The sequence below is a fragment of the Homo sapiens genome, chromosome 2, assembly GCF_000001405.40.
Source record: "Homo sapiens chromosome 2, GRCh38.p14 Primary Assembly".
NCBI classification, from domain to species: Eukaryota; Metazoa; Chordata; class Mammalia; order Primates; family Hominidae; genus Homo; species Homo sapiens.
In genome coordinates this window covers 196,804,417-196,832,248 of record NC_000002.12, presented here as the reverse complement: position 1 = coordinate 196,832,248, position 27,832 = coordinate 196,804,417, and the positions used below count along the sequence as shown (strand labels likewise).

At 39.5% G+C, this 27,832-nt stretch overlaps 1 protein-coding gene across 3 annotated transcripts; it reads left to right on the top strand.

Annotated features, from left to right (window-relative positions):
* Positions 110 to 27,832, top strand: C2orf66 (chromosome 2 open reading frame 66). 3 transcript variants are annotated; one of them, XM_047444338.1, is made up of 4 exons: positions 110 to 893; positions 22,901 to 23,035; positions 24,627 to 24,825; positions 26,841 to 27,832. In XM_047444338.1, the coding sequence occupies exons 2-3, from the start codon at positions 22,913 to 22,915 to the stop codon at positions 24,804 to 24,806; spliced, it is 303 nt and encodes a 100-aa protein (XP_047300294.1). In that variant the 5' UTR covers positions 110 to 893; positions 22,901 to 22,912; the 3' UTR covers positions 24,807 to 24,825; positions 26,841 to 27,832. The 3 variants fall into 3 exon arrangements, with proteins under 3 accessions (XP_047300294.1, XP_047300293.1, NP_998773.2); XM_047444337.1 differs by having other exon boundaries at positions 110 to 13,437; NM_213608.3 differs by lacking the exon at positions 110 to 893 and having other exon boundaries at positions 22,894 to 23,035.

The window sequence follows — 27,832 nt, the reverse complement described above, 5'->3', positions numbered from 1 at the left end:
GCTGGGACTACAGGTGCCCGCCACCAGGCCCAGCTAATTTTTTGTATTTTTTTTTTTTAGTAGAGACGGGGTTTCACTGTGTTAGCCAGGATGGTCTCGATCTCCTGACCTTGTGATCCGCCTGCCTCGGCCTCCCAGAGTGCTGGGATTACAGGCATGAGCCACTGCGCCTGGCGCTTTTCACATTTCTTATGCTAACTTGATATATTTCTGACGTGAGAAAAAATTTTAAATGGTCCATTTTCAAGGCATGATAAATCTAAGTACTGGCAGCCAGCCTGCAAATGTAACAAACCACATGGCTCATGCACCAAAAGGCCACGATAAGTGAACAGAATGTAGAGGAGGGGTCAGCCCATAAAAGGGAAGAAAGTTTTGTTATTGGGAAATCAAAAGTTAAGTGGGGAAGGGGACGGGTTATAACCTTATAAGGGGGATAATGAAACTCAGGCGATGTCTGGGAAGATTGTAACCCCATAGTACTCCGCCAGTGAGGAACTGGGGAAGGGACTTGTGTGCTAGGAGATAAATTATCTCTTGTGACTGCCCCAGGTGTGCCTGCCCACCGGACGCCCAATCTTGCAAGACCATTATTAAAAGTCTCACTTTCGCTGTTCTTTGTCCCTCTAAGTCCATTCTTTGGGTTTGGACAGGTGAGCATGTCTCTCACAACCTGGGGACCCATCCGGGGTCTCTATGCCTGCATGGAGTGGTATTCCGGCCAAGAGAGGAGATACATCCCACCTGATTTAGGTGGCCCACTCTGTCCAGGCGTCCTGGCTCCCCACAGAAGCCATAGAGAAATCTGAGACTGTTATTCAGGAGGCAGCAGAGGTGACCCAGGGAGAAAAGCAGGCACCGTGGGAACCAGCCCACCTCATGCATGAGCCAAGGTAGGAAAATTGGACTATGAGTAGAGTACTGCCTTGGTGGTTGGGCCTTTTCGAAGGTTCTGGGGTGTGCAAGAAACCTCCAGTAAGGGGGGCTGAGTAAACAGGGAAAAACTCAGACACAGAGGCTGGCCGAAAATGGGAGACAGAAATTCTAGGCCTAGGGGACAAAGGGAAGAGGGAGCCAAAGAGACTCCCTCTGACATTCCCCCAGATAGTCCTTTGGGGAAAATGTTGCAGGTTTGGAGGAACAACCCTTGAACCAGAGACAAGGAAAAGCAAAACATTTAGAGTATTGCTGTTTTATCTGGCCCAAAGACCTGATTTGTAAGCCTTTGGTCTTTTGGCCTAAGTTTGGCTCAGATGAGGATTGGGTGTGCCAAGCTTTAATTCTCTATGTGAATTAGAGAGATAGGTTACACTCTCTGCTGGATTAAGGAATTAGCCCCCTTGTTCCCCCTCAAAGAAGAAAGCCTAGTGAAAAGCCCTGGGACCCCCTATCATGCTCACCCCTCCATAAGCCTCTCAAGATAGGGGACAGGAAGATCAAGGGGCAGCAGGAGGGTTAGAGGAAGAAAGACCCGGAGACCATGGGGAAGCCAAACCAACTGCTCCTTTAAATCCTTATCCAAATTAAAGAAAAGAATTAAAACAGTGTAAGAGAGAGATCGAAAACTTACCTATCCCTTCCACACAGCAGGCATCTAGCATGTTCACGCTTACGCAAGTTCCCATGGGACAAGGAAAAATTGGCTTTGTAAATGCTCCTCTTACAAGAACTGAAGTTAGGAATTTCAAGAAGCAAATGAAACCACTCCTACAAGATCCCAGCCATTTAGCAGACCAATTCCTGGAACCCAGCTTTTATACCTGGGCTGAAATGATGTCTGTCATGAATATCCTGTTCACAGGAGAAGCGGGGAATGATTAGGAGAGCTGTTCTTCATGCCTCTAAGTCCATTCTTTGGGTTTGGACGGCTGAGCATGTTTCTCACACTGAGCGCCTAGTTTCTCAACTTAGTAGGAATGAGAATGATTTAAACTGTTTGTAAACAGATTTTCAGGTCACTCCAGAAATTTGATCTTTAGGGGAGGGGCCTGGAATTTTTTTAACAGGTGCCCCAAAAGTAATTCTCAATCAAGTTTGGTGAACATTCCCTTAGTCAATAGAGTTAACTTGCTAGGCCTCCTAGAAACAACTAGAAATGCTGTCCTGAGCATTACAAAGTGCCAAAAGAAACAATAATTTGAGAGTTTTAGTACAGGTTCCGATTTTATTATAGAACATATGGGAGGAGTAAAATGGGGGAGGATATATTTTGAGGGAAGAGTACCTTCTAAACTTTTAACCAGCATCCCTAAATATATGAACGTTTACGAATTATCTGCCTGTCCTAATGTTGTGTATGGTTTTGGCTTTTTGTTGTTGTTGTTGTCGTTTTTGTTTTGTTTGTTTTGTTTTGAGATGGAGTCTCGCTCTGTTGCCCAGGCTGGAGTGCAGTGGCGTGATCTCGGCTCACTGAAAGCTCCGCTTCCCGGGTTCAAACCATTCTCCTGCCTCAGCCTCCCGAGTAGCTGGGACTACAGGCGCCCGCCACCACGCCCGTCTAATTTTTTGTATTTTTAGTAGAGACGGGGTTTCACTGTGTTAGCCAGGATGGTCTTTATCTCCAGACCTCGTGATCCGCCCGCCTCGGCACCCCAAAGTGCTGGGATTACAGGTGTGAGCCACTGCACCCGGCCCCTGTTTTTTTGTTTTTTTTTGTTTTTGAGACAGAGTCTGGCTCTTTCGCCCAGGCTGGAATGAAGTGGCAGGATGTTAGCTCACTGCAACCTTTGCCCCTGGGGTTCAAGTGATTCTCCTGCCTCAGCCTCCCGAGTAGCTGGGATTACAGGCGTCTGCCACCATGCCCGGTTATTTTTTGTATTTTTAGTAGAGATGGGGTTTCACCATGTTGTCCAGACTGGTCTCAAACTCCTGACCTCAGGTGATCCACCTGCCTCGGCTCCCAAAGCATTGTGTATGTTATTAAATATACCCAAAGAAGTACATTTTTAAGGATGAAAATACTTAACTAGAAACTTTAATATTTCTTTGGATACCTAGGGGATTACTTTGAATGAGACCACATCAATTTGGAATCCACTGAATATACAGCATGGAAACCTCGTGGGCCTTCCTCACTAGTTTTTCTCTTTTTCATTTTTTCTGGAAAAGGGGGTGAAGATGAAGAAGGAAGTGAAAAAAGATTGTGTGAAAAAAAATGTGCGTGTGTGTATGTATATATACATATATATGTTAACATATGTATGTTAATTGCTGCATAACAAAAGACTACAATTTTAACTGCTTAGAACAACACCCATTTATTTGCTCCGTAGGTCAGAATTCTAGGCATAGCCCTAGTGTGTTTGTTCTCTGCTCAGAGTCTCACAATGAGCAATGAATTTGACCAGGTTGCTGTCCCATCTGAGGCTCATTCCGTTTGTTGTCAGAATTCACTTTTATGTGGTCCTAGGGCTGAGGTCCCTGTTTTCTGGCTGTCAACCGGGGACTCTTGAACTCTGGTGCCATGCCCTACCACATAGCCTTTTGACATCATGGCAGTTTGCTCCTTCAAAACCAGCAAGAGAGTTTCACATTTGAATCTCTTTGACTTCCTCTGTCACTGACCTTTAGACCCAGATTTAGAGGGCTCAAGTGAATATCTTAGGTCCACTGACATAATTTCCCTTTGAGTTGATTAACTCAAAGTCAACCTTAATTATATCTGCAAAATCATTTGTATTATGTAAGGTAAACAATCATATTCACAGAATTTCATCCACAGTCAAGAGGAGGGGATTATACAAGGTATACACCAGAGGGTGAAAACCTTGGGGACCATTTTAGAAGTCCGCATGCTACACGTGACATGGAACTAAAGTCTTTTTTCATAATTGCTATACTTAATATTCCATAGTTTTAACTCAAGGAGCTGATGAATTAAACATAAAATGTTTCAGTGAGAGAAAAGTCCCTTGATGAATTTTAAACAGCTTTTAAAGAAGTCTCCCACCCCTAGGTTGCTAGGTTGCTTTGTGTGTGTGTGTGTGTGTGTGTGTGTGTGTGTGTGTGTGTGTGTGTGAGAGAGAGAGAGAGAGAGAGATTTTGATTCGTCTAGAAATGGATTTGCTCTGCTTGTTTTGAACAGTCAGAATTTGGATATAGCCTGAAAGTAAGAAAGAGTGGACCAGCTTGCCTTATCAAATGAGCTGAATCATTTTACTGTGCTTAATAGATGTAATTTCATATTGGGTATCAGTCAAGAGTAATGACTAACTCAAACAAAATTATATAAGGTCAAATTGACCTTTGAAAAATGTTTCTAGAAATTCTCTTTTGACTATGTTTGGAGAAAGAATTAAGTTAGATGGACTTTCTAGTTGTGCCTAAGTCACAGTATATTGTGTAAATGAAAGCTTCAGGTTTTGCAGAGCTACATGCCCATTTGAGTATTCATATTTGTAAATCATCCTTCAGTATGGAATAGTTCTGTGAGGTATGTTCATATTAACACATGCTCAACACAAAAGACAATCACCATGCTTTTTACATTTAATATTTTGCACGATTCTGATTAAGAAAGAACTTTAGAAAGTTTGGAGGAAAATAAATCCAGCTAGAATGATCTAGGGATTAGAGTAGAAGATTTGACTGAAATATTAAAGACCTCTTCACTCTGCAACTACATAAGTTCAGTGAGAAGGTGTTTGAAGAAGAAACTTTATGATTCAGCCTTTCTCTTCGTTTCCTGGCTTGCAGGAAATACAGCATTGTACATGGTAGGCAGTACAGAGATTGCTGCCTGAAGAAGGTGGTGTACAGGATTGGGGTGGAGGGAAGAGGAGGAAATTTATTTTCTGGAAAAGATTTTGACCTACTGGAGAAAAAAAAGAATTTATGTTAAGAAAGGAAGTAGATTACCCTTTTTAGAAAAAGTTTGTCATATAGTTGCATTTTAGTTAGGAATGTGTAACATTTACTGTATTTTAAATTCTTTGTTCCAACAAGTTTTTTCCCCCAATGTTGTCGGGGTTTTTTTGTTCTGATTTGTCCTTTTTTTTTTTTTTTTTTTTTGAGACAGAATCTCCCTCTGTCACCCAGGCTGGGGTACAGTGGCACGATCATGGCTCACTACAGCCTTGGCCTCCTGGGCTCAAGTGATCCTCCTACATCAGCCTCCCAAGTAGCTGGACTTCTAAAATTTTTTGTAGAGAAAGGGTCCTCCTTTGTTGCCCAGGCTCAATTGCTTTGTTTTGTTTTGTTTTGTTTTGTTTTGTTTTTGAGACAGAGTCCTCCCTCTGTCGTCAAGGCTAGAGTGCAGTGGTGCGATCTCTGCTCACTGCAACCTCCGTCTACCGGGTTCAAGCGATTCCCCTGCCTTAGCCTCCTGAGTAGCTGGGACTACAGGTGCCCGCCACCACGCCAGCTAATTTTTTGTATTTTTATTAGAGATGGGGCTTCACCATGTTAGCCAGGATGGTCTCGATCTCCTGACCTCGTGATCTGCCCACCTCGGTCTCCCAAAGTGCTGGGGTTACAGGTGTGAGCCACTGCGCCTGGCCTCAATTGTTGTATTGTGATAAAATACACATAACACAGTTTATCATCTTAACCATTTTAAAGTATATAGTTCAGTGGTATTAAATTCAGTGTTGTGCAGCCACCACCACCACCCATCTGAATAACTCTTTTTCTTTTTCTCTGAAAACTGCAACTATATCCATTAAACAAGAACTCCTCATTTCCCTCTCTCCTGATTGCCTGGCAACTATCATTCTCATTTCTATTTCTGTGATATTAATGTAAAAACCTTTTGTTACATTCATAAATTACAAATCTATAGAATACCATAAAGGGAAATGTGTTTTGGAAAATCATCTCAGACTTTTTTGATTGCAAACTCTTATTGTTAAAGAAGTTTAAATGTTCCCCCATAAACATACTACTACAATACTAATATGTAAATTAAAAAATTTAGAAGGTTGTAATGAAGACAATATATTTTTAAGTATTTTGCTAATTATAATAGTGCCATGATCAACAACTGATATCTCAAGACACAAAAATATATTTAGGGCAATAGTGGATGTCATTGATTTTTCAAATAATCTTGATAATTTTTAATGGGGAGGAGTGACATTACCAGATCTGATTAAATTATAATTTTCAATTCCTAATGAAGCTGGCAAAGGAGTAGAAGTGTCAGTGCTTATTATTTTCTTTTGTTGGTTTGTGCTTCCATTACTGGTATTATATTCAACCTATGGTTTCTTGGGAGGAGTGTTTTTAAGCTGCTTATTCATTTGTGGTAGTTACACTGGTTAGAACTAAATAACATAATAAATATTTAATAATATAATACATGAATCATATACTGCATCACATTATTCTTAAAGTGAACAAGCCCATGTACAAATTAGGGGCCCTGTCTTCCTGTATGCTGTAGAATTCTCCCTGTTCTCTTCGGGTATCTCCTATGGACTGTGTGCAGCCATCTGTGATAAAGGCTGAATGTGTGAGAGCATTAGTGTCAATCCATTTATAAATTGTTGGTAACTTCATTTGTTAGATTAAAAACATGAAAGTGAATTATGTCTTCCTCCTACATCCCGATGTGCTGTCTTGCACACTACTTAGAATGTACACACCCTCCTCTGGAGAAACTTAGTTTAGGATGTATCTTGTAACCCTTTGAGATTGTCTCCCCCTCCAATAGCTTTACTGAGATACTAATTGACAAGTAAAAAATGTAGTTTTAAGCTGTACAACATGATGTTTTGATATATGTATACACCATGAGATGATTACCACAATCAAGCTAATTAGCATATGCAAGGTAATATCCAGTAACCTTGTGTGTGTTGAGAATATTTAAGATCTACTTTCTTAGCAAATTTCAAGTTTGCAATATAGTATTATTAACTATAGTCATTCTAACATGTGAGGTGTTATCTCATTGTGGTTTTGATTTGCATTTTCCTGATTATTAGTGATGTTGATAATTTTTTCATATACCTGTTGGCCATGTGTATGTCTTTTTTTGAGAAATATCCATTGAAGTCCTTTACCTTTTTTTTTTTTTTTTTTTTTGAGACAGAGTCTCACTCTGTTGCCCAGGCTGGAGTGCAGTGGCTCACTACAACCTCCCCATCCTGGGTTCGAGCACTTCTTTTGCCTCAGCCTCCTGAGTAGCTGGGACTACAGGCACATGCTGCCATGCCTGGCTAATTTTTGTATTTTTAGTAGAGATGTGGTTTCACTGTGTTAGCCAGGCTAGTCTTGAACTCCTGACCTCAGGTGATCCGCCCTCCTCAGCCTCCCAAAGTGCTGGGATTACAGACATGAGCCACCATGCTCAGCCCCTTTACCCATGTTTTAATCAGGTTATTTTCTTGCTATTGAGTTGCTTGGATTCCTTGTATATTTTGGATATAACTCCTTATCAGGTCTATGGTTTGAAAATACATTCTCCCATTCTGTAGGTTGTCTCTTCACTTTGTTGATTGTTTCTTTTGCTGTGCAGAAGTGAGGTTGCCTTTATATCTATGTATAGTGATACAAAGTGAGGTTTCTAATATCTGTGTATACTTGTATTATCCTGAAAGCAAAAATGAAGTTTCCAGATCAGAACCTGTCTATTATTACTTCACGACAGCAAAGGGTATGGAGAATGAGTATTATGAATCTCCATTGTATTCTTTCTTCATCTTGTTGCTGGACCTTACAGTTTTAAATTTAGAAAGTTTATTGTTCCAGTGAGACTGTATAGTGCAGTAAGACATTTAAGTACCAAATACAACTAACTGAAAACCTTAATCAGAAATATATGCTATAATTCAACTTTGAAGAAAAAAAATCAGAAGAAAACTAAAAGAGGTAAGCAGTTCTTTTCATAAAATCTTCCAGACTGTATTTTGGGGTTTGTACACTTCCTTTTCATGCATACTTTGTCCTTTCAGCAGATGGATTGAGTACCTGTCACAACAAAATCTGTGCCAGACACATTCACATTCAGCTTCTCATTTCATTCTCAAAAAAAGAAAAAAAAAACCCTTACAAAGAGGATTATTATCCCCATACCATAAGAAAGGATGTAGGCTCAGAGAAATTAAGTAATTTGCCTGTAGTAGAATTCAAGCCAGATTGCCTGTCTAAGAAATAGTGTTCTTAAATGAAGACCTGAAATATGTAATTATATTAGTTCACTTCCTACTCTCAAAATCTTTTCTGACCATACTAATTATTACTCTTAACTTGAAAAAAAATTGTTTCTAATGGTATGTCCACAACCTTCCTTGTTACCATTTAGATATTTCATGCAACTCTGTGACTTCAGTGTTATATTCTTGGTGGATGATTCACCAAGTCAGACAGATTTGCTTCCTGAATTCCATATCTAAGTATCTCTGAGTCAATGGCAGTACATTTAGCCTCTCTGAGTCTGTGTCTTCATTCATAAATTGTAGCTAGTAATATCCATCTTACAAAATTTGGATGAGGATTAAATGAGATAATGTACCTGACACATAGTAGGTTCTCAAGAATGATAGGTGCTTTCTTTCCAGCCCCCTAAACTCTAGTCTTCACCAAACTAGACAAACAAAGTATCAAATTACTGTTGAAATTTAACATAATAATTTCTTTCTTTGGTTTGGTTTTCTTGTTTTGTTTTGTTTTGTTTTGTTTGAGACAGGGTCTCACTTTGTCATACAGGCTGGAGTGCAGTGGCGTGATCTCAGCTCACTGCAGCCTCTCTACCTCCCAGGTTCAAGTGATCCTCCTGCCTCAGCCCCCCCAAGTAACTGGAACTATGGGCATGCACCCCCACACCTGGCTAATTTTTCTATTTTTTTGCAGAGGCAGGATTTGGCCATGTTGCCCAAGCTGGTCTTGAACTCCTGAGCTCAAGTCATCCACCTGCCTCAGCCTCCCAAAGTGCTAGGATTACAGACATGAGCCACTATGCCCAGCCCCTAGTAATTTCTCTCCCTCCCTAATCAGCAGCTCGTTTTAGTTTCCAAATTTCTATTAAATCCTCCCAATTACACAAGTTTAAAGTCTATTTAACATTCATTTTGGCAACTTCTTACTTGCCTACTACATCTACGTAGTTGTTAAGCCTTAAAGAGTCTAGCTCTTTACGGCCACCCTTTCTAGCTCCCACCCTAGTTTAGACCATCATTACTATTATTCCAAATTTTATAGCAGCTTCATAAATGGTCTCCCCTCTTTGCTCACTCACTTCCCTTCTATCCTGCATATTATAATCCCCGTTAGTCTTTTTTTTTTTTTTTAACAAGAAGTTTATTTAAACAACAAGACACTTGACTTGAAGGGAAAACTATCTAAGATTCTTTTTTGTTTTAGGGTAATTTATCCCTACTTAAAGACAGATTGCCCTACATATAACAGCTACATACAAAAAAGTTATAAAACTGTCCTTGGTTTTACAATGATAAATGAAAAACATTAAAATTCTCCAACTGAAAAAGGTATGCAAGGATTTTTGTTGTTGTTAAAACAGAGCAAAATAACTTACTGGAATATAAAGATAAGAGCTGAATGAGCATGCCGCTAATGGAGAAAGGGGGTATTTTCACAGAATCAGTATTTTTCCCCATCCCGTCTCCACTTGATGTCAATCAAAACATACCATTGGCTGTTTAGTTGAAAAAAAAATGCAATATGCTTGTGCACATACACCAGTTACTTTATGTACAATAAAGGAATGGGGAAGGGGAAAATGAAAGAATAGAGAAAACTATACAGTTTTAGTCAGGATGTGGTGGAACCAAATTGCAGTTTTCTAATTGAGAATGTAATCTTGGTCTTTAAAGAACAGAGTTCTGGCGTAAAGAAGCAGGTTCTGAGATTTCTCATGTATTTTTCCAGAGCCAGACTTACAGAATGCACTTTTGAAGGGGGAGTATAAACGTTTGCTTATTTATTCAATTTTGTTTAAAATAATTGGATAACATTTTATGTACCTACAGTGCTCTCAGCATGCTGGGAATGAACTATCATTTTGGAGGTGGGGTAATATTTTTGTTTTTGTTCTTTGTTAATTTTTTTCCCCTTAGGATAAAAGCTCACTGGTTGTGGCCGGGCGCAGTGGCTCATGCCTGTAATCCCAGCACTTTGGGAGGCCAAGGCGGGCAGATTTTGAGGTCAGGAGATCGAGACCATCCTGGCCAACATGGTGAAACCCCATCTCTACTAAAAATACAAAAATTAGCTGGGCATGGTGGCACATGCCTGTAGTCCCAGCCACTCGGGAAGCTGAGGCAGGAGAATCGCTTGGATCCAGGAGCGGAGGTTGCAGTGAGACAAGATCGTGCCAAGACTCTGTCTCAAAAAAAAAAAAAAAAAAAAAAAAAAAAAAAAGCTCACTGGTTCTATTTCAGAGCTCACAATTGATTAATAGCACTAAAAGAAAATCATTTCCCCAATTATGTCCCAAAATATCTAAAGAATTACCCATCTGAATTGTCCTTATTTTTTTCTCTTCTCTAAAACTACTCCTTTTATCATACAAAATATGTACCTGGAAATTTAAGTTATATTTTAAGAATGGTATTTCTTTCAAATACTTATATAACTTTATTAATAGGCTAAAATGTGGTTCAATACAAAATTATGTGACTCATGGAAAGGGTCTTATCTAGTTTAATATTCTGATGTGGCCTCTTTTCTCATCCCTTTTGTATCAAAAAGATATTCAATTATAGTTTGACTTATGTAAAATCCCAGGTTCATAATAGATATTTCAATCCAAATCCATTTTGTGTTGTGATCTGGATGACAGAAGAAGCTCAGCCTTCCTCAAAAGGGAATAAAAATTTGAATCCAGGTTCTAAGTCTACTGCAGCTTAGTGTGTTTAGTAGAACCTAAAGCAGTTGTGGTGAGTCATGAGTCTTCCTCCGTGATTGGCCTGATGTCTCAACATCCCCTGTAGTCTTTTCCTTTGACTGCTGTAACAAATTACCAAAAACTGGATGGCTTAAAACAACAGAAATATATTCTCTCACAGTTTTGAAGGCCAGAAAGTCTGAATTCAGTACCTCTGAGCCAAAATCCAGGCATGGGTAGGGCCATGCCACCTCTGGACACCCTATGGAAGGACTTGTTCCCTTCCTCTTCCAGCTTCTGTTGGCTGCTGGCATTCCTTGGCTTGTGGCCACATCATACCAGCCCTCAAGGCCAGCATTGTCAAATCTCTCTCTGCTCTGTGCTCACATTGCCTTCCCCTCTGTGTGCCTGTGAAATCTCCCCCTGCCTCTCTTAAAGACAAGCAATCAAATTGATTGCTTTGAGGGCATACCCTGATAAATCAGGATAGTCTCATCTCAAGAGCCTTAACTTAATCACATATACAAAGACCTTTCTTCCAAATAAGGTAACATTTACAAGCATTAGGGCTTGATGTCTTTGGGGTGGGCATTTTCACCCTACCATATCTTCTAAGGTCTCATACTACTTTGGGCCATATAGATCTTAGGAAGCCCAAATTCTCAGATAGAATTTAAGGTTTCAATCTGCACTGCCAGCTTTGCTGCAACCCAGGATCATCTCAGAATCCTTTCACAGAATTCTTATTCATAAGTATGTCTTAACCCTAAACTCCTAAGAAAACACATCTAGATTTATACTAAGTAACATGCTAGGAACTCAGTCTTGAAAACTCAATCTCTCTTATAACCTCCACTTCCAATGTATAAATTGAGAAGAGTATGGTCTATACATTGGGTTGTGAAAATTAACAATGAGTAGTGACAAAGCAGAGGCCCTGACACATAGTATGTATTCAATAAATACCATGCTTATTATCCTACATCAGAAGGGCAAGCCATCCTTAAAGTTTGATAGTAAGCCAGAAATCTAAATAATTAGTTAAAAGGAACAAAGGGAGAGGAGAGAAATCCCAAGGTGCTCTTCATGGATGACTAATGGGAGATATCTCCTATGACGTATGGGCCTTTAGGCTCTTAAATAGCTTCAGGGCAGGATGCACCAAATAGGGCCCGAAGTTTCCATATCCCTGGAGGGGAAAAACAAATAAATAAATAAATAAGAACTGCTTTGCTTCTGAATGGAGGGGAGAAAGCTGTACTAATAATAATTATTCTGGATGGTTCTAATGTCCTTTAACTCCTTTAGCAGGCCTATGTTGTGATTTGAGGACTACCATATTGAATATGAATTATTTCTTATTGACTGGGCTTCCCCATCTGAGTTATCTCAGGACTTGGACAAAACAGCTCTGCCCCACCCCCTCAAATCCAGAACAATTCAAATAGAAAAGTGTGTGTGGTCATGAATACGCCACAGTTTCCCCAGTCTCTATTGGTTTGTGTGCAAGAGATAGATCAAATATTAATTTACACTTTACTGGTCTATTGACTATTCAAGTAAAATTGACAAATACTGGTCAACTACAATTATCTCTCCCCTCCTTATTAAAATATGACATTATGTAAATCTCTGGTGAATGATACAAAATAGAAATGTAACAAGGCTGAAATATCGTAAGAATCTAAGTTCAAATTTTACCTACAGAATTTTTAATTCCATAAACATTTGTGATATAACTACACTGTGCCAGGCATTATACCAACCTCTGAAGACAAGACCAAGCTCTGAAGAATCAATGATAAAAAAGACATGGTGCCTCCTTCAAGAGAGCACCTTGTGAACCATGAGCCAAGTGGAAACAAATGCAGTCATCCTGATTGTCTTAGTTTGGGCTGCTGTAACAAAGTACCATAGACTGGGTGGCTTGTGAACAACAGACATTCATTTCTCACAGTTCTGGAGACTGGAAATCTAAGATCAGGGTGCCAGCACAGATTGGGTTCTGGCGAAGCCATCCTCTGGATTGCAGACTGTCATCTTCTCCCTGTATCCTTACGTGGCAGAAAAAGGGCAGGAGAGTTCTTTGAGGTCTCTTTTAGAAGGGCACCAATCCCATTCATTAGGGCTCTATTCTGATGAACCAATCACCTCCGAGAGGCTCCACCTCCTGATAGCATCACATTTAGGGTTAGGTTTTCAAGATATGAATTTGGGGTCAGGGGGACACAATCATTCAGTCAATTACATTAATTTCACCTGGCAAGAACGGTTGAAATGACGCAGTGGTATCTTTTTCTCAAAAGAAGTGATATTTGATCTGAGCTTTGAAGAAGCAAACAGAGAGAAATTATGAGGGCATACAAGGGTTGGAGAAGGTATTCCAGACAGAAGCAACAGCAATTTCAATGGCACTCAGGCATAAGTGCAATGGTGGTCACTGGAGGTCAAGTGGATGGAATGGTAGGACTGGATCATATTGAGAGCCTTTACATCACAATCAAGAGTTTAGACTCTATTTTATGGGCATCCAGATACCATGAGAAGGAGATGTGATGCATGTGAGCTTTACCTCAGCTGTGAGACCTTGTCTGCCCTCAGGCTCTCTGCTACAAAAGCAGCCTGCCTGCCAAAGACCTGTTTGCAAAACTGTAAGCAATGATTCTGCCTTCTATATTTTAGGAAAAATATTTTACTCCTCTGATGAATTTGGAGATATCAGTAGGGCCTGAGATGAGAGAAGGGGTTGGGAACCTGGTTCTCAGTTCAGTTTATGTCTCAGTCAGTGTGTGAATCCGGATGTCTAGTTTTTCACTGTGTTTCTCCCAGCTGGCTTTTGCTCAAGCATGATTATCATGATTTTTATCCTCTGTTGACTCTACTCCTCCATCTTAGCTGTAGGAGAAATGGCTTGAACTTAGGGCAGGATTTAAAGGGATGCATTGGCTGGCTCTCTCTTACTAGCCCAAATTGTGGCATTTGTGTTTTGGAAAGGCTGGTGGCTGTGAGGAAGACAGACCAGGGGCAGGAGACAGGGAGGCTGCTGCCCAAGTCCCAGAAATTGATCATGAACACCTGATGGAAGCAGCAGCTGTGAGGTCAGCCTGGACTTGAGAGCCAGTGCTCTCCAGGAAGCATGGCAACCTTGCTTGGCCTGGGGCCTCCTTTCTCTATGGGTTCAGGCTTCCAGAATTGCCTCACACTCTGGAGGAAGCATGGCCAACCTAGTTGGCACGGGGCCTCCTTGCTCTGTGGTCTCAGGTGTCGCAGGAAGTCAGGGACCCCGAATGGAGGGACTGGCTGGAGCCGCAGCAGAGGAACATAAATTGTGAAGATTTCATGGACATTTACTAGTTCCCAAATAATACTTTCATAATTTCTTACACCTGTCTTACTTTAATCTCTTAATCCTGTTATCTTCGTAAGCTGAGGATGTACGTCACCTCAGGACCACTACGATAATTGTGTTAACTGTACAAATTGACTGTAAAACATGAGTGTTTGAAGAATATGAAATCAATGCACCTTGAAAAAGAACAGAATAACAGCGATTTTAGGGAACAAGGGAAGACAACCATAAGGTCTGACTGCCTGTGGGTTGGGCAAAACGAGCCATATTTTCCTTCTTGCAGAGAGCCTATAAATGGACGTGCAAGTAGGGAAGATATCACTAAATTCTTTTCCTAGCAAGGATTAATACTCTGGGAAAGGAATGCATTCCTGGGGGGAGGTCTATAAATGGCCGCTCTGGGAGTGTCTGTCTTATGCAGTTGAGATAAGGACTGAAATACCCCCTGGTCTCCTGCAGTACTCTCAGGCTTACTAGTGTGGGGAAAAACCCCACCCTGGTAAATTTGAGGTCAGACCGGTTCTCTGCTCTCAAACCCTGTTTTCTGTTGTTTAAGATGTTTATCAAGACAATACGTGCGGCCAGGTGCGGTGGCACAAGCCTGTAATCCCAGCACTTTGGGAGGCCAAGGTGGGCAGATCACAAGGTCAGGAGATCGAGACCATCCTGGCTAACACGGTGAAACCCTGTCTCTACTAAAAATACAAAAAAATTAGCCAGGAATGGTGGCAGGCGCCTGTGGTCCCAGCTACTTGGGAGGCTGAGGCAGGAGAATGGCATGAACCCAGGAGGCGGAGCTTGAAGTGAGCCAAGATCTCGCCACTGCACTCCAGCCTGGGCGAAAGAACAAGACTCTGTCTCAAAAAAAAAAAAAAAAAAAAAAGACAATACTTGCACTTGCACTGCTGAACATAGACCCTTGTCAGTAATTCTGCTTTTGCCCTTTGCTTTGTGATCTTTGCTGGACCCTTAGCAGGAGTTTCTGATTTTGCCCTTGTCCTATTTCCTCAGAAGCATGTGATCTTTGTTCTCCTTTTTACCCTTTGAAGCATGTAATCTTTGCGACCTACTCCCTGTTCTTGCACCCCCTCCCCTTTTGAAATCCTTAATAAAACTTGCTGGCTTTAAGGCTCAGGTGGGCATCATGGTCCTACTGATATGTGATGTCACCCCCAGCAGCCCAGCTGTAAAATTCCTCTCTTGGTACTCTTTCTCTTTATTTCTCAGCCGGCCAACACTTATGCAAAATAGAAAGAACCCACATTGAAATATGGGGGTGGGTTCCCCCAATACTCAGGCTTTTAGAATTGGCTTACACTCTAGCCCTATTACATAAAAACGGTTGTAACATATTTTAAACAGAGGAAGATCTTTTATCCTTTTTAATATACCCCTCTAACATTTTTTTCCAACTTTTATTTTAGATTCGGGGGGTACACATGCTGGTTTGTTACCTGGGTATATTGCGTGATGCAGAGGTTTGGGATATGAATGATCCCATCACTCAGGTACTAAGCACAGTACCCGGCAGTTAGTTTTTCAACCCTTGCCCTCCTCCCTCTCTCCTTCCTTCTAATAGTCCCCAGTTTCTATTACTGCCATCTTTACTTTGCCATTTTTTAGAAAACAAAACTGATGATAGCAAAGAATACGACAGATTTCTCCATAGTGAATAACTACAGAATTCTGAGGGTCAACTTTATACTTACACTTAATATAGATGCTGCTGAAAAGGACAAATGGTTCACCCTACTGTGGAGGTTTTTGAGAATGTCATGTGTGTTTTTAACCAACGTCGTTTGACTCTAAGCCCCTATACCAATGGGGGAGGAGGGAAATTCAACTTCAATGGTTTCTGCACCTACCCTCACCTCCTCTGGGTCTCATAGAATCTGGGAGATTTTTGTGCCCCCAGAATATGAGGGGTGAGCCCCTACTCTCCTGTCTGTCATAGTCACTATGGCTCCCTTGACCCACAGCTCTTTGCTTCTGTTCTGTTTATCACAAGAGGTTTATTTCTTCCTCCTTCTCTTTATTCCACCTTCAAACTGAAATCTGTTGCTGTCACACACAAAAAAAGCAGTTATTGCTATGAGCAGAAAGCTGCCCGGCCTGCTCTATTAATCATATGAGCAACCTTTCCCTTATTTTTGAAGTCCTCATCATCACTGAGGAGGCACTCTATAAATAATAATTTTCCTATTCACTTAGGCCAAGGGGAAGAAAAAAGAGATTAAATTTTATGTCCTCATTCATGATACAGCTAACGAGCTGTATCAGCTCTGGGTTTTTTTCCTTAAAAGAGACAAGAAGGGTTTGAAAAGGTTATATAGTCCAATAGATGGTTTAAAAATTCCTCCCTACCTTGTTTAATTAGCATGATTTCCCCACAATTAGCCTATGTTTGCATTTATATTATACTTCAATTTGTAATTCAATCAACACATATTTGTTGGATTTCTTTCATGTGTGTGGTTCTGTGCTGAGTACTCTATTTTCTTTTCAAATTCCACTTGAGAAATGCTAGCAAAGAATTTCATTCAGATGCCTCTGGGTGCAGAAGCACCTTTTTGCCTGCTACCACACCCTTTTGTCCCAACTGCTACTGTTACAAATGCACTACTTAATGAAGAGACCAAATTAGATAATTTGGACCAAAAACTAATGGTTTGAGAACCTAAAATATTGTGGGTTTTTTTCTCTTTCTCTCGATTGAACCTATTAACCAAATAATTATAAAATATCTACTTAGTGCTGTGTTGATACATTTTGAAGGAAATGTCATAATCAACTTTATCAGTAGTACCTTCTGCTCTTTAAAAAAGAAATTTAAAATCAAGAAACTGGCCAGGCATGGTGGCTCATGCCTGAAATCCCAGAACTTTGGGAGGCTCAGGCAGGAGAATGACTTGAGACCAGGAGTTTGAGACCAGCCTGGGCAACATAGTGAAACATGGTTCTACAAAAAAAGAAAAAAAAAAGAGAGCCAGCCATGTTGATGTGTGCCTGTAGTCCTAGCTACTCGGGAGGCTAGGGTGGAAGGATCACTTGAGCCTAGGAGGTGGAGGCTGCAGTGAGCTGTGATTGTACCACTGCACTCCAGCCTGGGTGGCAGAGTACGGCCCTGTCTCTTAAAAAAAGAAACAAAGGAATTAATTTTTTTAACTTAAACATATAGTTCTATGTTCTATTAATCATCAGGGAAACTCCAGTGTTAAGGAACAAGACTATAGTATGTATGTTACCTTTGGTCCATCGGTTCCTTTGAGAAACTATAAATATTTCTTAAAAATTTAAGAAGCTCTTAAAAGAACAGATGAACTATGTTTTTATACAAATGGAACTATCAATTATTCATAGATAAATGGCTATGAAAATCTGTTGTAATTTATTCAGCCAGTATTTCCTGTTTTAAAAGTGCTTGCATATTGGGCTCAACATTGGGCACTGGGAATGTGAGGGTGGGCATTGTCTAAGGAGTTTATAGTGTTGTGACTTTTTACTATAATCTCAGTAAAAATTTTTTTTTTGATTTGTTTTTTATTATACTGTAAGTTCTGGGGTACATGTGCAGAACATGCAGGTTTGTTATACAGGTATACGCATGCCATGTTGGTTTGTTGCACTCATCAACTCGTCATCTACATTAGGTATTTCTCCTAGTGCTATCTCTCCCCCAGCCTCTCAACCCCCTATAGGCCCCAGTGTGTGATGTTCCCCTCCCTGTGTCCATGTGTTCTCATTGTTCAACTCCCACTATTGAGTGAGAACATGCAGTGTTTGGTTTTCTGTTCCTGTGTTAGTTTGCTGAGAATGATGGTTTCCAGTTTCATCCATGTCCCTGCAAAGGACATGAACTCATCCTTTTTTATGGCTGCATAGTATTCCATGGTGTATATGTGCCATGTTTTCTTTATCCAATCTATCATTGATGGACATTTGGGTTGGTTCCAAGTCTTTGCTATTGTGAATAGTGCTGCAATAGACATATGTGTGCATGTGTCTTTATAGTAGCATGATTTGTAATCCTTTGGGTGTATACCCAGTAATGGGATTGCTGGGTCAAATGGTATTTCTAGTTCTAGATCCTTGAGGAATTTCCACACTGTCTGCCACAATGGTTGAACTAATATACACTCTCACCAACAGTGTAAAAGCGCTCCTATTTCTCCACATCCTCTCCAGCATATGTTGTTTCCTGACTTTTTAATGATTGCCATTCTAACCGGTGTGAGATGGTATCTCATTGTGGTTTTGATTTGCATTTCTCTAGTGACCAGTGATGATGAGCTTTTTTTCGTGTTTGTAGGCTGCATAAACGTCTTCTTCTGAGAAGTGTCTGTTCATATCCTTCGCCACTTTTTGATGGGGTTGTTTTTTTCTTGTGAATTTGTTTAAGTTCTTTGTAGATTCTGGATATTAGCCCTTTGTCAGATAGATAGATTGCAAAAATTTTCTACCATTCTGTAGGTTGCCTGTTCACTGTGTTGACAGTTTCTTTTGCTGTGCAGAAGCTCTTTAGTGTAATTAGATCCCATTTGCCAATTTTGGCTTTTGTTGCCATTGCTTTTGGTGTTTTAGTCCTGAAGTCTTTGCCCATGCCTATGTCCTGAATGGTATTGCCTAGGTTTTCTTCTAGGGTTTTTATAGTTTTAGGTCTTACGTTTAAGTCTTTTATCCATCTTGAGTTAATATTCATATAAGCTGTAAGGAAAGGATCCAGTTTCAGCTTTCTACATATGGCTAGCCAGTTTTCCCAGCACCGTTTATTAAATAGGGGATCCTTTCCCCATTGCTTGTTTTTGCTGAGTTGGTCAAAGATCAGATGGTTGTAGATGTGTGGTGTTATTTCTGAGGGCTCTGTTCTGTTCCATTGGTCTATATATTTGTTTTGGTACCAGTACCATGCTGTTTTGGTTACTGTAGCCTTGTAGGACAGTTTGAAGTTAGGTAGCATGGTGCCTTCAGCTTTGTTCTTTTTTTTCTTCTTTTTGGCTATGTGGGCTCTTTTTTGGTTCCATATGAAATTTACAGTAGTTGTTTCCAGTTCTGTGAAGAAAGTCAATGGTAGCTTGATGGGAATAGCATTGAATCTATAAATTACTTTGGGCAGTATGGCCATTTTCACTATATTGATTCTTCCTATCCATGAGCATGGAATGTTTTTCCATTTGTTTGTGTCCTCTCTTATTTCCTTGAGCAGTGGTTGGTAGTTCTCCTTGAAGAGATCCTTCATATCCCTTATAAGTTGTATTCCAATATATTTTATTCTCTTTGTAGCAATTGTGAATGGGAGTTCACTCATGATTTGGCTGTTTGTCTGTTACTGGTGTATAAGAATGCTTGTGATTTTTGCACATTGATTTTTGTATCCTGAGACTTTGCTGAAGTTGCTTATCAGCTTAAGGAGATTTTGGGCTGAGACAATGGGGTTTTCTAAATATACAATCATGTCATCTGCAAACATAGACAATTTGACTTCCTCTTTTCCTAATTGAATACACTTTATTTCTTTCTCTTGCCTGATTGTCCTGGCCAGAACTTCCAATACTATGTTGAATAGGAGTGGTGAAAGAGGGCATCCTTGTCTTGTGCCAGTTTTTAAAGGGAATGCTTCCAGTTTTTGCCCATTCAATATGTTATTGACTGCGGGTTTGTGATAAATAGCTCTTATTATTTTGAGATACGTTCCATCAATACCTGGTTTATTGAAAGTTTTTAGCATGAAGGTTGTTGAATTTTGCCGAAGGCCTTTTCTGCATCTATTGAGACAAATCATGTTGTGGTTTTTGTCATTGGTTCTGTTTATGTGATGGATTACATATATTGATTTGCATATGTTGAACCTCAGTAAAAATTTAATATTTCAATATTATTATATACTTTAAAGTCCTGGGGTTTTAAAGAGAGTGATGTAATACAATTCCAGGGTATTCATTTACTCACCTAACCGTTGACATTTAAACAAACAAGTCTCTCATATTTTAACAACTACAACACTTTTCCTTGACTCTACTTTTAACTCTAGTAACTACCTTCTTTCTTTTCATAGCTGCGTTTCCAAGAGCTTGCTATACTCACTCATTTTCCTCTCCATCCAGTCCCTTCTAATCTGACTTTCTACTAAAACAGTTCAAATGCTCTATAGACCTAATTTTATCCAATGTGTCCCTTCTTGAAACACTTTCTTCTGTTGCTTCCATACTTTGCTGATTTTCCCTCACCTTCAGGGTCTCTTTTGTAGATTCCTGTATGTGGCTGTTACATGTTAAAATTTCTCAAAGCTCAAGTTTTTGGCCCCCTTTTTTCCTCATATTCTAAACTTTACTGAGGTAATCTCATTCACTTCTATGCCAACAACTCCCAAATTTACATTTCCTTCCCAGATTTCTCCTTTGAGCTCCAGATCTGTGTATCCTATTGCATACTCTCCAACCCCACGAGGAAATCTCAAAGCCTCCTCTAACTCAACACATTCCAAACAGAATGATGATCTTCACTCCTCCATGCCTCGGTTTGATATCTTGGTGAATGGCACTGTAACCCACTCACCTGCATAACCCACGGACCTAGCAATTGGTTTTGAAACTCCCATCTCCTTAGCCCCCCTCCCCGTAGTACCCAGTACATTAACAATCCCTTATAAATCTCTCTCAGATCTACCCATAATCTGTGCATCTGTGCTAACATCGCCCTAATCCAAGTTAACATCTTTTCCTGCCTGGACTACTGTGTAACCACCTAACTGGCTTTGCGCAGCCCTCTTTTCTAGCTCAGTCTCTCCTCCCCACTGCAACCAGAATAACCTTTTAAAAATGCAAGTATGATCAAGCTTCTTTGATGCCTAAAACCCTTTAATCAGTTAGCATTACTTGTAGCCTAAAGATCATAATCTGACTACCTCTCCGGCCCCATCTTGCGTCAGGCATCCCACCTGCTCCCTCTACGCCTGGCATAATTTCAGTACCTTTAAAGTGCCCCATTCCTAGCACAGCTGTTCACCTTTTTAGACACACTTCTCCCTCTGTCTTCCTCAGGTTGCCTGGGTAACTCCTATTCAGTTGACTGGATGTAAGGTCATTTCTTCACAGAAGACTTCCTTGGCTCTCAGACTGAATCAAATTCCCTTTTTCTATACTTTCATAGCACTCGCTATTTCATAGAAATGATTGTTCACTTATATGTACACATTTGGTTGTACGATTTGATTAATGTTTGTCTTGCCCACTACTCTATTTTAATGAGGGCAAGGACTGTATTTATTATTCTTACCATTTCATCCTCAAATCCTGTTGCAGTACCTGGCACATAGTAGGCACTTTGTAAAAGTCTGCTGAATGAATAAACAGAGGAAATGAACAACTGAAGGGCAGAGGTCATAGTAACTTGCCCAGGGTCAAGATGGCAAGACTGAGACTATAGCCAGGTTTGCTAATTTCCAGTCGAGATCACCAGCCTTCTGAATAAATATCTTGTCCTAAATTTTGTTCTAAATCATTGGAACCAAAGCAACGTCACAACTCAAGTCCAATTTCTCGGCCTACCATTTTCTACAGATGGCATTTATTCAGCAAGGGAATGTTGTAGGTATAGTAATTTATCTTTTTTCCATGAAACATGTGTTATCTTCTTGCTCTATTTTGAAGAGATATTATGATAAATGATGCCACTATTTAAAACTTGTAAAGCTTCTTGAGGTTCTCAGAAAAAAGTACAAGGTATAGGTCAAAAAGAGTAATTTTGTCTCTCACAAAAGAATTTTCTGTTCAAAAAATGCTGTTAACTTGAAAAAGTCATATCTCCAAAAGAACGTTCTAATAGGTGGGATAATCATCATCATATTTCCAGCTATAATCCATCATATTTCCAGGTGTATCCCTTCCCTTAAAAGTAAAAAAGGAGAAAATCACTTTGCTGTGTGGAAGTGCTTTGTGTGTTTTATAAAATCCACATAAAATGTTCGTGGTTCAAGGAGTGGCTGCCGCATTTCTAAGGCAAATAAGCTTATCCCTGAAGAAGCTTGAAGATCTGACTCTCAAGAATCTTTGTGTTCTGGATGAAAAAGGAATCATTATTTTTTAACTCCCCTGCTCAAGTCAGTGACTTCCACTGGCACCCAATCCATTGGTTATAAGTACCCATGAATTGCCTTGCCAATTATAGGCAGGATAACCTAGGAGGACCAACCAAAACCAAACTCCTGGTAAGCTTTATTAGCCTTTTCTACAATGTGTCTCAGTTTCTCTTTCACACCTTGGAGTGGAAGACAATCTCTACTCACACTGTTGTGGTATGTGTCTGTCTGTCTCAGATGTGTGTATAAGGTGTATTTCTCAGCTCGGTATCTGAAGTAATTTCTTTTTCTTTTCTTTTTTTTAAAGACTGCTGTCTTAAGGCTTAAAAGTAATTTAAGGTTTTGTTTTTTGTTATTTTAAGAGTTGCAGTTTCTTTGGAGACAACAAAGTACTTTTTTTCCAAAGATGAAAAAGGCATATTCAGACTTTCTATGTTATGTTCCATAATTGTTTTGCTTATCACTGTATAACATTCTCATTATCATGGGCTACTTTAAGCTAATCAGTTGCATTTTGGGGTCCTCATTTAGAAGTCAATCTGGAAAAAAGATGGCTGTAAAACTTAGATAAACCAGTATGCTATTTCTCCTTCCTTGTCTGCCTTTACAGATGTTTCCTCTTTCTCTCTCTCTTCCCTGACTATCTCTCTCAATGATCATTGACAGCTCCCGCATCCCCTCTTTCACTCAGCTTCACTCCACCATGACCAGAGCACCTCTCCTGCTACTATGTGTTGCCCTGGTGCTGCTTGGGCATGTGAATGGAGCCACAGTAAGAAATGAGGACAAATGGAAGCCACTCAACAACCCCAGAAACAGAGATCTGGTAAGAACACACTTGGGGCCTGGGTTTCAGGATAGAACTAATGCCTCTTTGGATTTACGCACACAGCATTCTGTTTTCCAGAACGTAGTGGAAAGGGGGCTACCAAGGGTTGAGAAAATTCTCCAACAGGATTGGACCAGAGTTTTACTACCCTAGTGGTTGGCAACCTATTGTTTCTCTGGCCAGTTTACATTTGTTTCTGTAAAGAGAAACAAATTTATATTTAGAAACAATCTTATACACACATAGTACAATTCATTTGTAACTGATCTTATATACACATTGACTTTGTAGCCTTGATTTCTAATACATATAAAAAATAAAGAGTGTAACAGGGAATTGCTCGTGCATAGCTTAGATTGAACTGATGATAAAACAAGTTATCATATAACTAGAGATTGCCAAGCTCAGCTGCAAAAATTGAAAGTTGACCCTGCATGGGTATCAATTTACTGGACATATTTTCAACATATAGTTATCTATAAAATAGAATTCAAAAGATCAGTAAACATTCTCTTTAAAAAAAATGCCAAATACAATAAACATGTTGACATGACTATTTTGAAATATGGTTTTTCTAAAGTGAATGATGGGAAATATAACAACATAGGATTAAAATAAACTGAGATAAGAGACCAGCAGGATTTGTTTTCTGGTCACAGCTGCTGACGAAAACAGGATCTGGTCCAGACAGGATAAAGTGAAAACACTGGGTGAAACCAGCAGATGGCAACAAAAGTGGTCCCGACCTGCTCTCATTGCTCTTAGGATATGATCCTCCCCTCAGTGCCATGACAGTTTACAAATGTCATGGCAATTACCTGGAAGCTACCACTCCTTTCCATGGCAATGACCCAAAAGTTACCACCTCTTTCCTAGAAAGCTCTAAATAACTCCCTTCTGTTTGCATTAACCCATCCCTTAATTTGCATATATTCAAAAGTGGATAAAAACACAGTTGATAAGAGCCCATATGTTGTCAGCCCTAGGTGCACTACCTATGAATTAGCCTTGTTCTGGCAGGAGCAGTACCTTTCAATAAAAGATTGTTACCACAACCAGCCTGCCCTTAAATTCTTTTCTGGGCAAAGCCAAGAACCCTCCTGTGCTAAGCTCCAGTTTTGGGATTTGCCTGTCCTGCATCAAAGCAAGTAGCACTTCGCACATCTTCTGTGTTCATTTCCTAATGGAAATCTGAAAAGAAACTATTGCAGAAGGCAACAACAGAGATCTCATATTAAGGAAGAGGAGATACTGAGCTGCTTATTATGGAGTTCATTTTCACCTTTGACCTTAGTACTCAGAGATAGTTCACAATGAATCTTTCCACTGTGGTGCCGCTCCATAGTCTTCCTTCAATTTTCAGTAAGAATGGTGAATTATTTTGGTTAGGGTTGAAATGTCAGAAAGAAGGTACAGAGGAGGGGAGGAGAAGTAGCTGAAGCATGTACTTGTATTTCTAGATTTTGTATTTCCTGCCTCTTAGATTAGCCTTAAAGTCAATTCAGGGGAAAAATAGAGGGAAGAAAAACACCTTTATTTTTGGTGTTTCATTTATATCTGGCATTGACCATTTTCTTTCTCTCTTTAGTTTTTCAGAAGGCTTCAGGCATATTTTAAGGGCAGAGGTCTTGATCTTGGAACATTTCCAAATCCTTTCCCCACGAATGAAAATCCTAGACCTCTCTCTTTCCAGTCAGAACTTACTGCTTCTGCATCTGCAGATTATGAAGAGCAGAAAAACTCCTTTCACAATTATCTCAAAGGCTGAAAGTTTCTTCTGAGCTCAGGTAAAAGTTGGCCCTTTATTCTGGATCTGTCCAAACATACAAGTCAGCCATAAAGTAGATATTTTGAAAGTATTTATTTGAAAACATAATTTTATTTCCTCATAGAAATAAATGCTCAGTTCTGCTTATACTCATTACTATTAAGTATTTGGATTTGGTTCAGGTATTTTACAGTCTTGTTTTAAAAAGAAATGACAGTTTTTATTTTTTAAGCATAGTTATCCAGGCAGAGACATATTAAAATAATAGAATTATCTCTTAATAGGATTATTAAATTAATAACATGGCCACACTCTTACCTGTATCTTTTTCCAGACCAACTGATATAGCTAAGTTATGTGGAAAATCTACATAAAGAAATATGTCAAATTGAGCTGTTGGATTAGATGGGAATTAAAAGTTGAAAGTATGGTTCTTTGGGGGATAAAGTATTATGCATATATTTGAGCTTGAACTTCCTCACCTATAGGAAGAAAAGGTTGACTATTAGTAAGGATGGCATTTTTCTCATAGAAAAAAATTAAAAATTTATTAAGATTTGAATTTCATTACTTTTTTTGTTGTTGTTGAGGTAGAGTCTCACTGTGTCGCCCAGGCTGGAGTGCAATGGTGTGATCTTGGCTCACTGCACCCTCCACCTCCTGGGTTCAAAGGATTCTTCTGCCTCAGCCTCCTGAGTAGCTGGGATTACAGGTGCCTGCCACCACACTCAGATAATTTTTGTATTTTTTTTTTTTAGTAGAGACAGGGTTTCACCATATTGGCCAGGCTGGTCTCGAACTCCTGACCTCGTGATCCACCTGCCTCAGCCTCCCAAAGTGCTGGGATTACAGGCATGAGCCACCACACCCAGCGAATTTCATTACTCTTATTATTTAGCATTCCTATCAAACCAACACCTACCATTTAAAAAGAACAAGCATGATTGGCCGGGCGCAGTGGCTCACACCTGTAATCCCAGCACTTTGGGAGGCTGAGGCGGGAGGATCAAGAGATCAGGAAATCGAGACCGTCCTGGCTAACACGGTGAAACCCCATCTCTACTAAAAATACAAAAAATCAGATGGGCGTGGTGGCCAGTGCCTGTAGTCCCAGCTACTTGGGAGGCTGAGGCAGGAGAATGGCGTGAACCTGGGAGGTGGAGCTTGCAGTGAGCTGAGAGCACGCCACTGCACTCCAGCCTGGGTGACAGAGCGAGACTCCATCTCAAAAAAATAAGAACAAGTATGGTGCATTCCAAGCAAATACATTATGATTTCAATCCATTAGCTTTTTGTTTAGCTGAATAATAAAGGGAATGGAATCATAATTAAAATCTTTTCCCATTCTCCCACAAGTGTAATTTTGAAATTCTGAGGAAGCATGCCTGTCTTGTGCTTCATGGTGTTTGTGAAAGGGTTTTCATTATTAGTTCTTTTAAATGTGATGATTAAAAAATAATGATTGCTACTCTAAAAAGAACGTATAACTTACCATGTGGAATATGCCCTTGGATATTGTTCTAAAATGAGAAAATAAAATAGAAGAAACAGTAAGATGTTAATGAAGTTTTCTCTTGACTATTATTTACACTTAGGCCTTAGGGTATCAGAGAATAGTTATTAATACCATACTATCTCTCTTAGTAAAAGGCAGATAAATTGCTTGTAAGCCTCGGCTTCTTCATCTGTAAATTGCAGATACTAGTTTCTACCTTACAGAAAGTATCATAGAAAATATCAAATAAATACTTTCATGTGAGCATGGAATGAGGTAATATAAAAGGGCAGGAAACTGATAAAGCACCCAGTTGGTGGTATCATAAAAGAACAGGAATTATTTACTTTTATGAAAAAAAAAACAAAGCTTCTGATTTGGAGTATATTTCATAATTATGAACTCTATGTTCCTTACATCTCTGGTGAGAAAATGAAGACAAAAAGAGTTTTCAGTAAAATATGTTGATTTGGGGGTCTTTGTGTTGATTGTATAGTCTTCAATTTCTATTTAATTATAACATTGTCTTGTTCTTTCAGGTGTCTGGCTATTTTAAAACTACAGATGAAGCTTCTCATTAGAAAAATTCAACCATTGTCATAGCTAAACTTTCATGGAGTTTCTTTCCCCCTCACTTTTATTTTTCAGTTTGTAATGATTTTATTCCACATTTCCATATTTACATATAAATCGCTGGAACTATGATTTCTATGCATATTTATGGAGTTTTTTTCCTATGAAACCATAAATATTGATGTAGAGCACCGCATGTATTTGTAGGAGTTACAAAAACATCACAAACTGAAAAAAGATTATAATCTAAATTAGATGTTTCTTTAAGCTTGTTTTTAAAACTTGTCTTTTATGTTTATTATCTTTTATCGACCAATATATTTTTTTAAAGGGACATGCTCACTTTTAGTATAGTAAAATTCATTATATGTGATAGAGGGTTGGGTTTAAAATTTGTCTTCCTTTCCTAAAAAGAAGATGCATTCCCATGTTCAGCATACACTACCAAAATACTTCACAGTTTTAGTTTCATAAGAAATGAGGGCAAGTGATAAACAGCCACAATTAAGTTAAAATGGAAGCAAACAACAACAACAAACATGGGATTCTAGAAGTTGTCAACGCCTCCAAAGATGCTCTTTGCCAGAGTATTCAGAGGTGGACATTGTGCCACATCAAATATTCTAGCAATGCCCGAGCCCTTGCTCTCATACACAACCTCCTCAGGAAGGAAAAGTAGAAACAGGTGATTTCCTCTCTTTCCAACCAGCCCCTGCTCTCCTTACTCTAGCTCATGCTGAGTTATTCTGATTCCCATACTCACATTTGGAATAGCTGCTTTTCCTGTATCTTTATAGATAGCTGCATCATCTTCTCTGTGATTCCTGCAAAAGGAATGTTGCACTAAAATGCAACATTGTCCTAACATTAGTCTGTGCATTTCAAAATATTTTAATGTGGCTTTTTTGGGTGGATTATTGATATTGTATATGAAGAATAAAATATTTGTGCAAGAACA

Bases quoted from the DNA above. Each gene is read 5' to 3' on its own strand.
- C2orf66 (XM_047444337.1), top strand. From the start codon at position 13,342: ATGCATGTGAGCTTTACCTCAGCTGTGAGACCTTGTCTGCCCTCAGGC. The intron at 13,438-22,900 runs GTAAGCAATGAT...TCTTTCACTCAG, and splicing joins AAAGACCTGTTTGCAAAACT to CTTCACTCCACCATGACCAG. The intron at 23,036-24,626 runs GTAAGAACACAC...TTCTCTCTTTAG, and splicing joins ACCCCAGAAACAGAGATCTG to TTTTTCAGAAGGCTTCAGGC.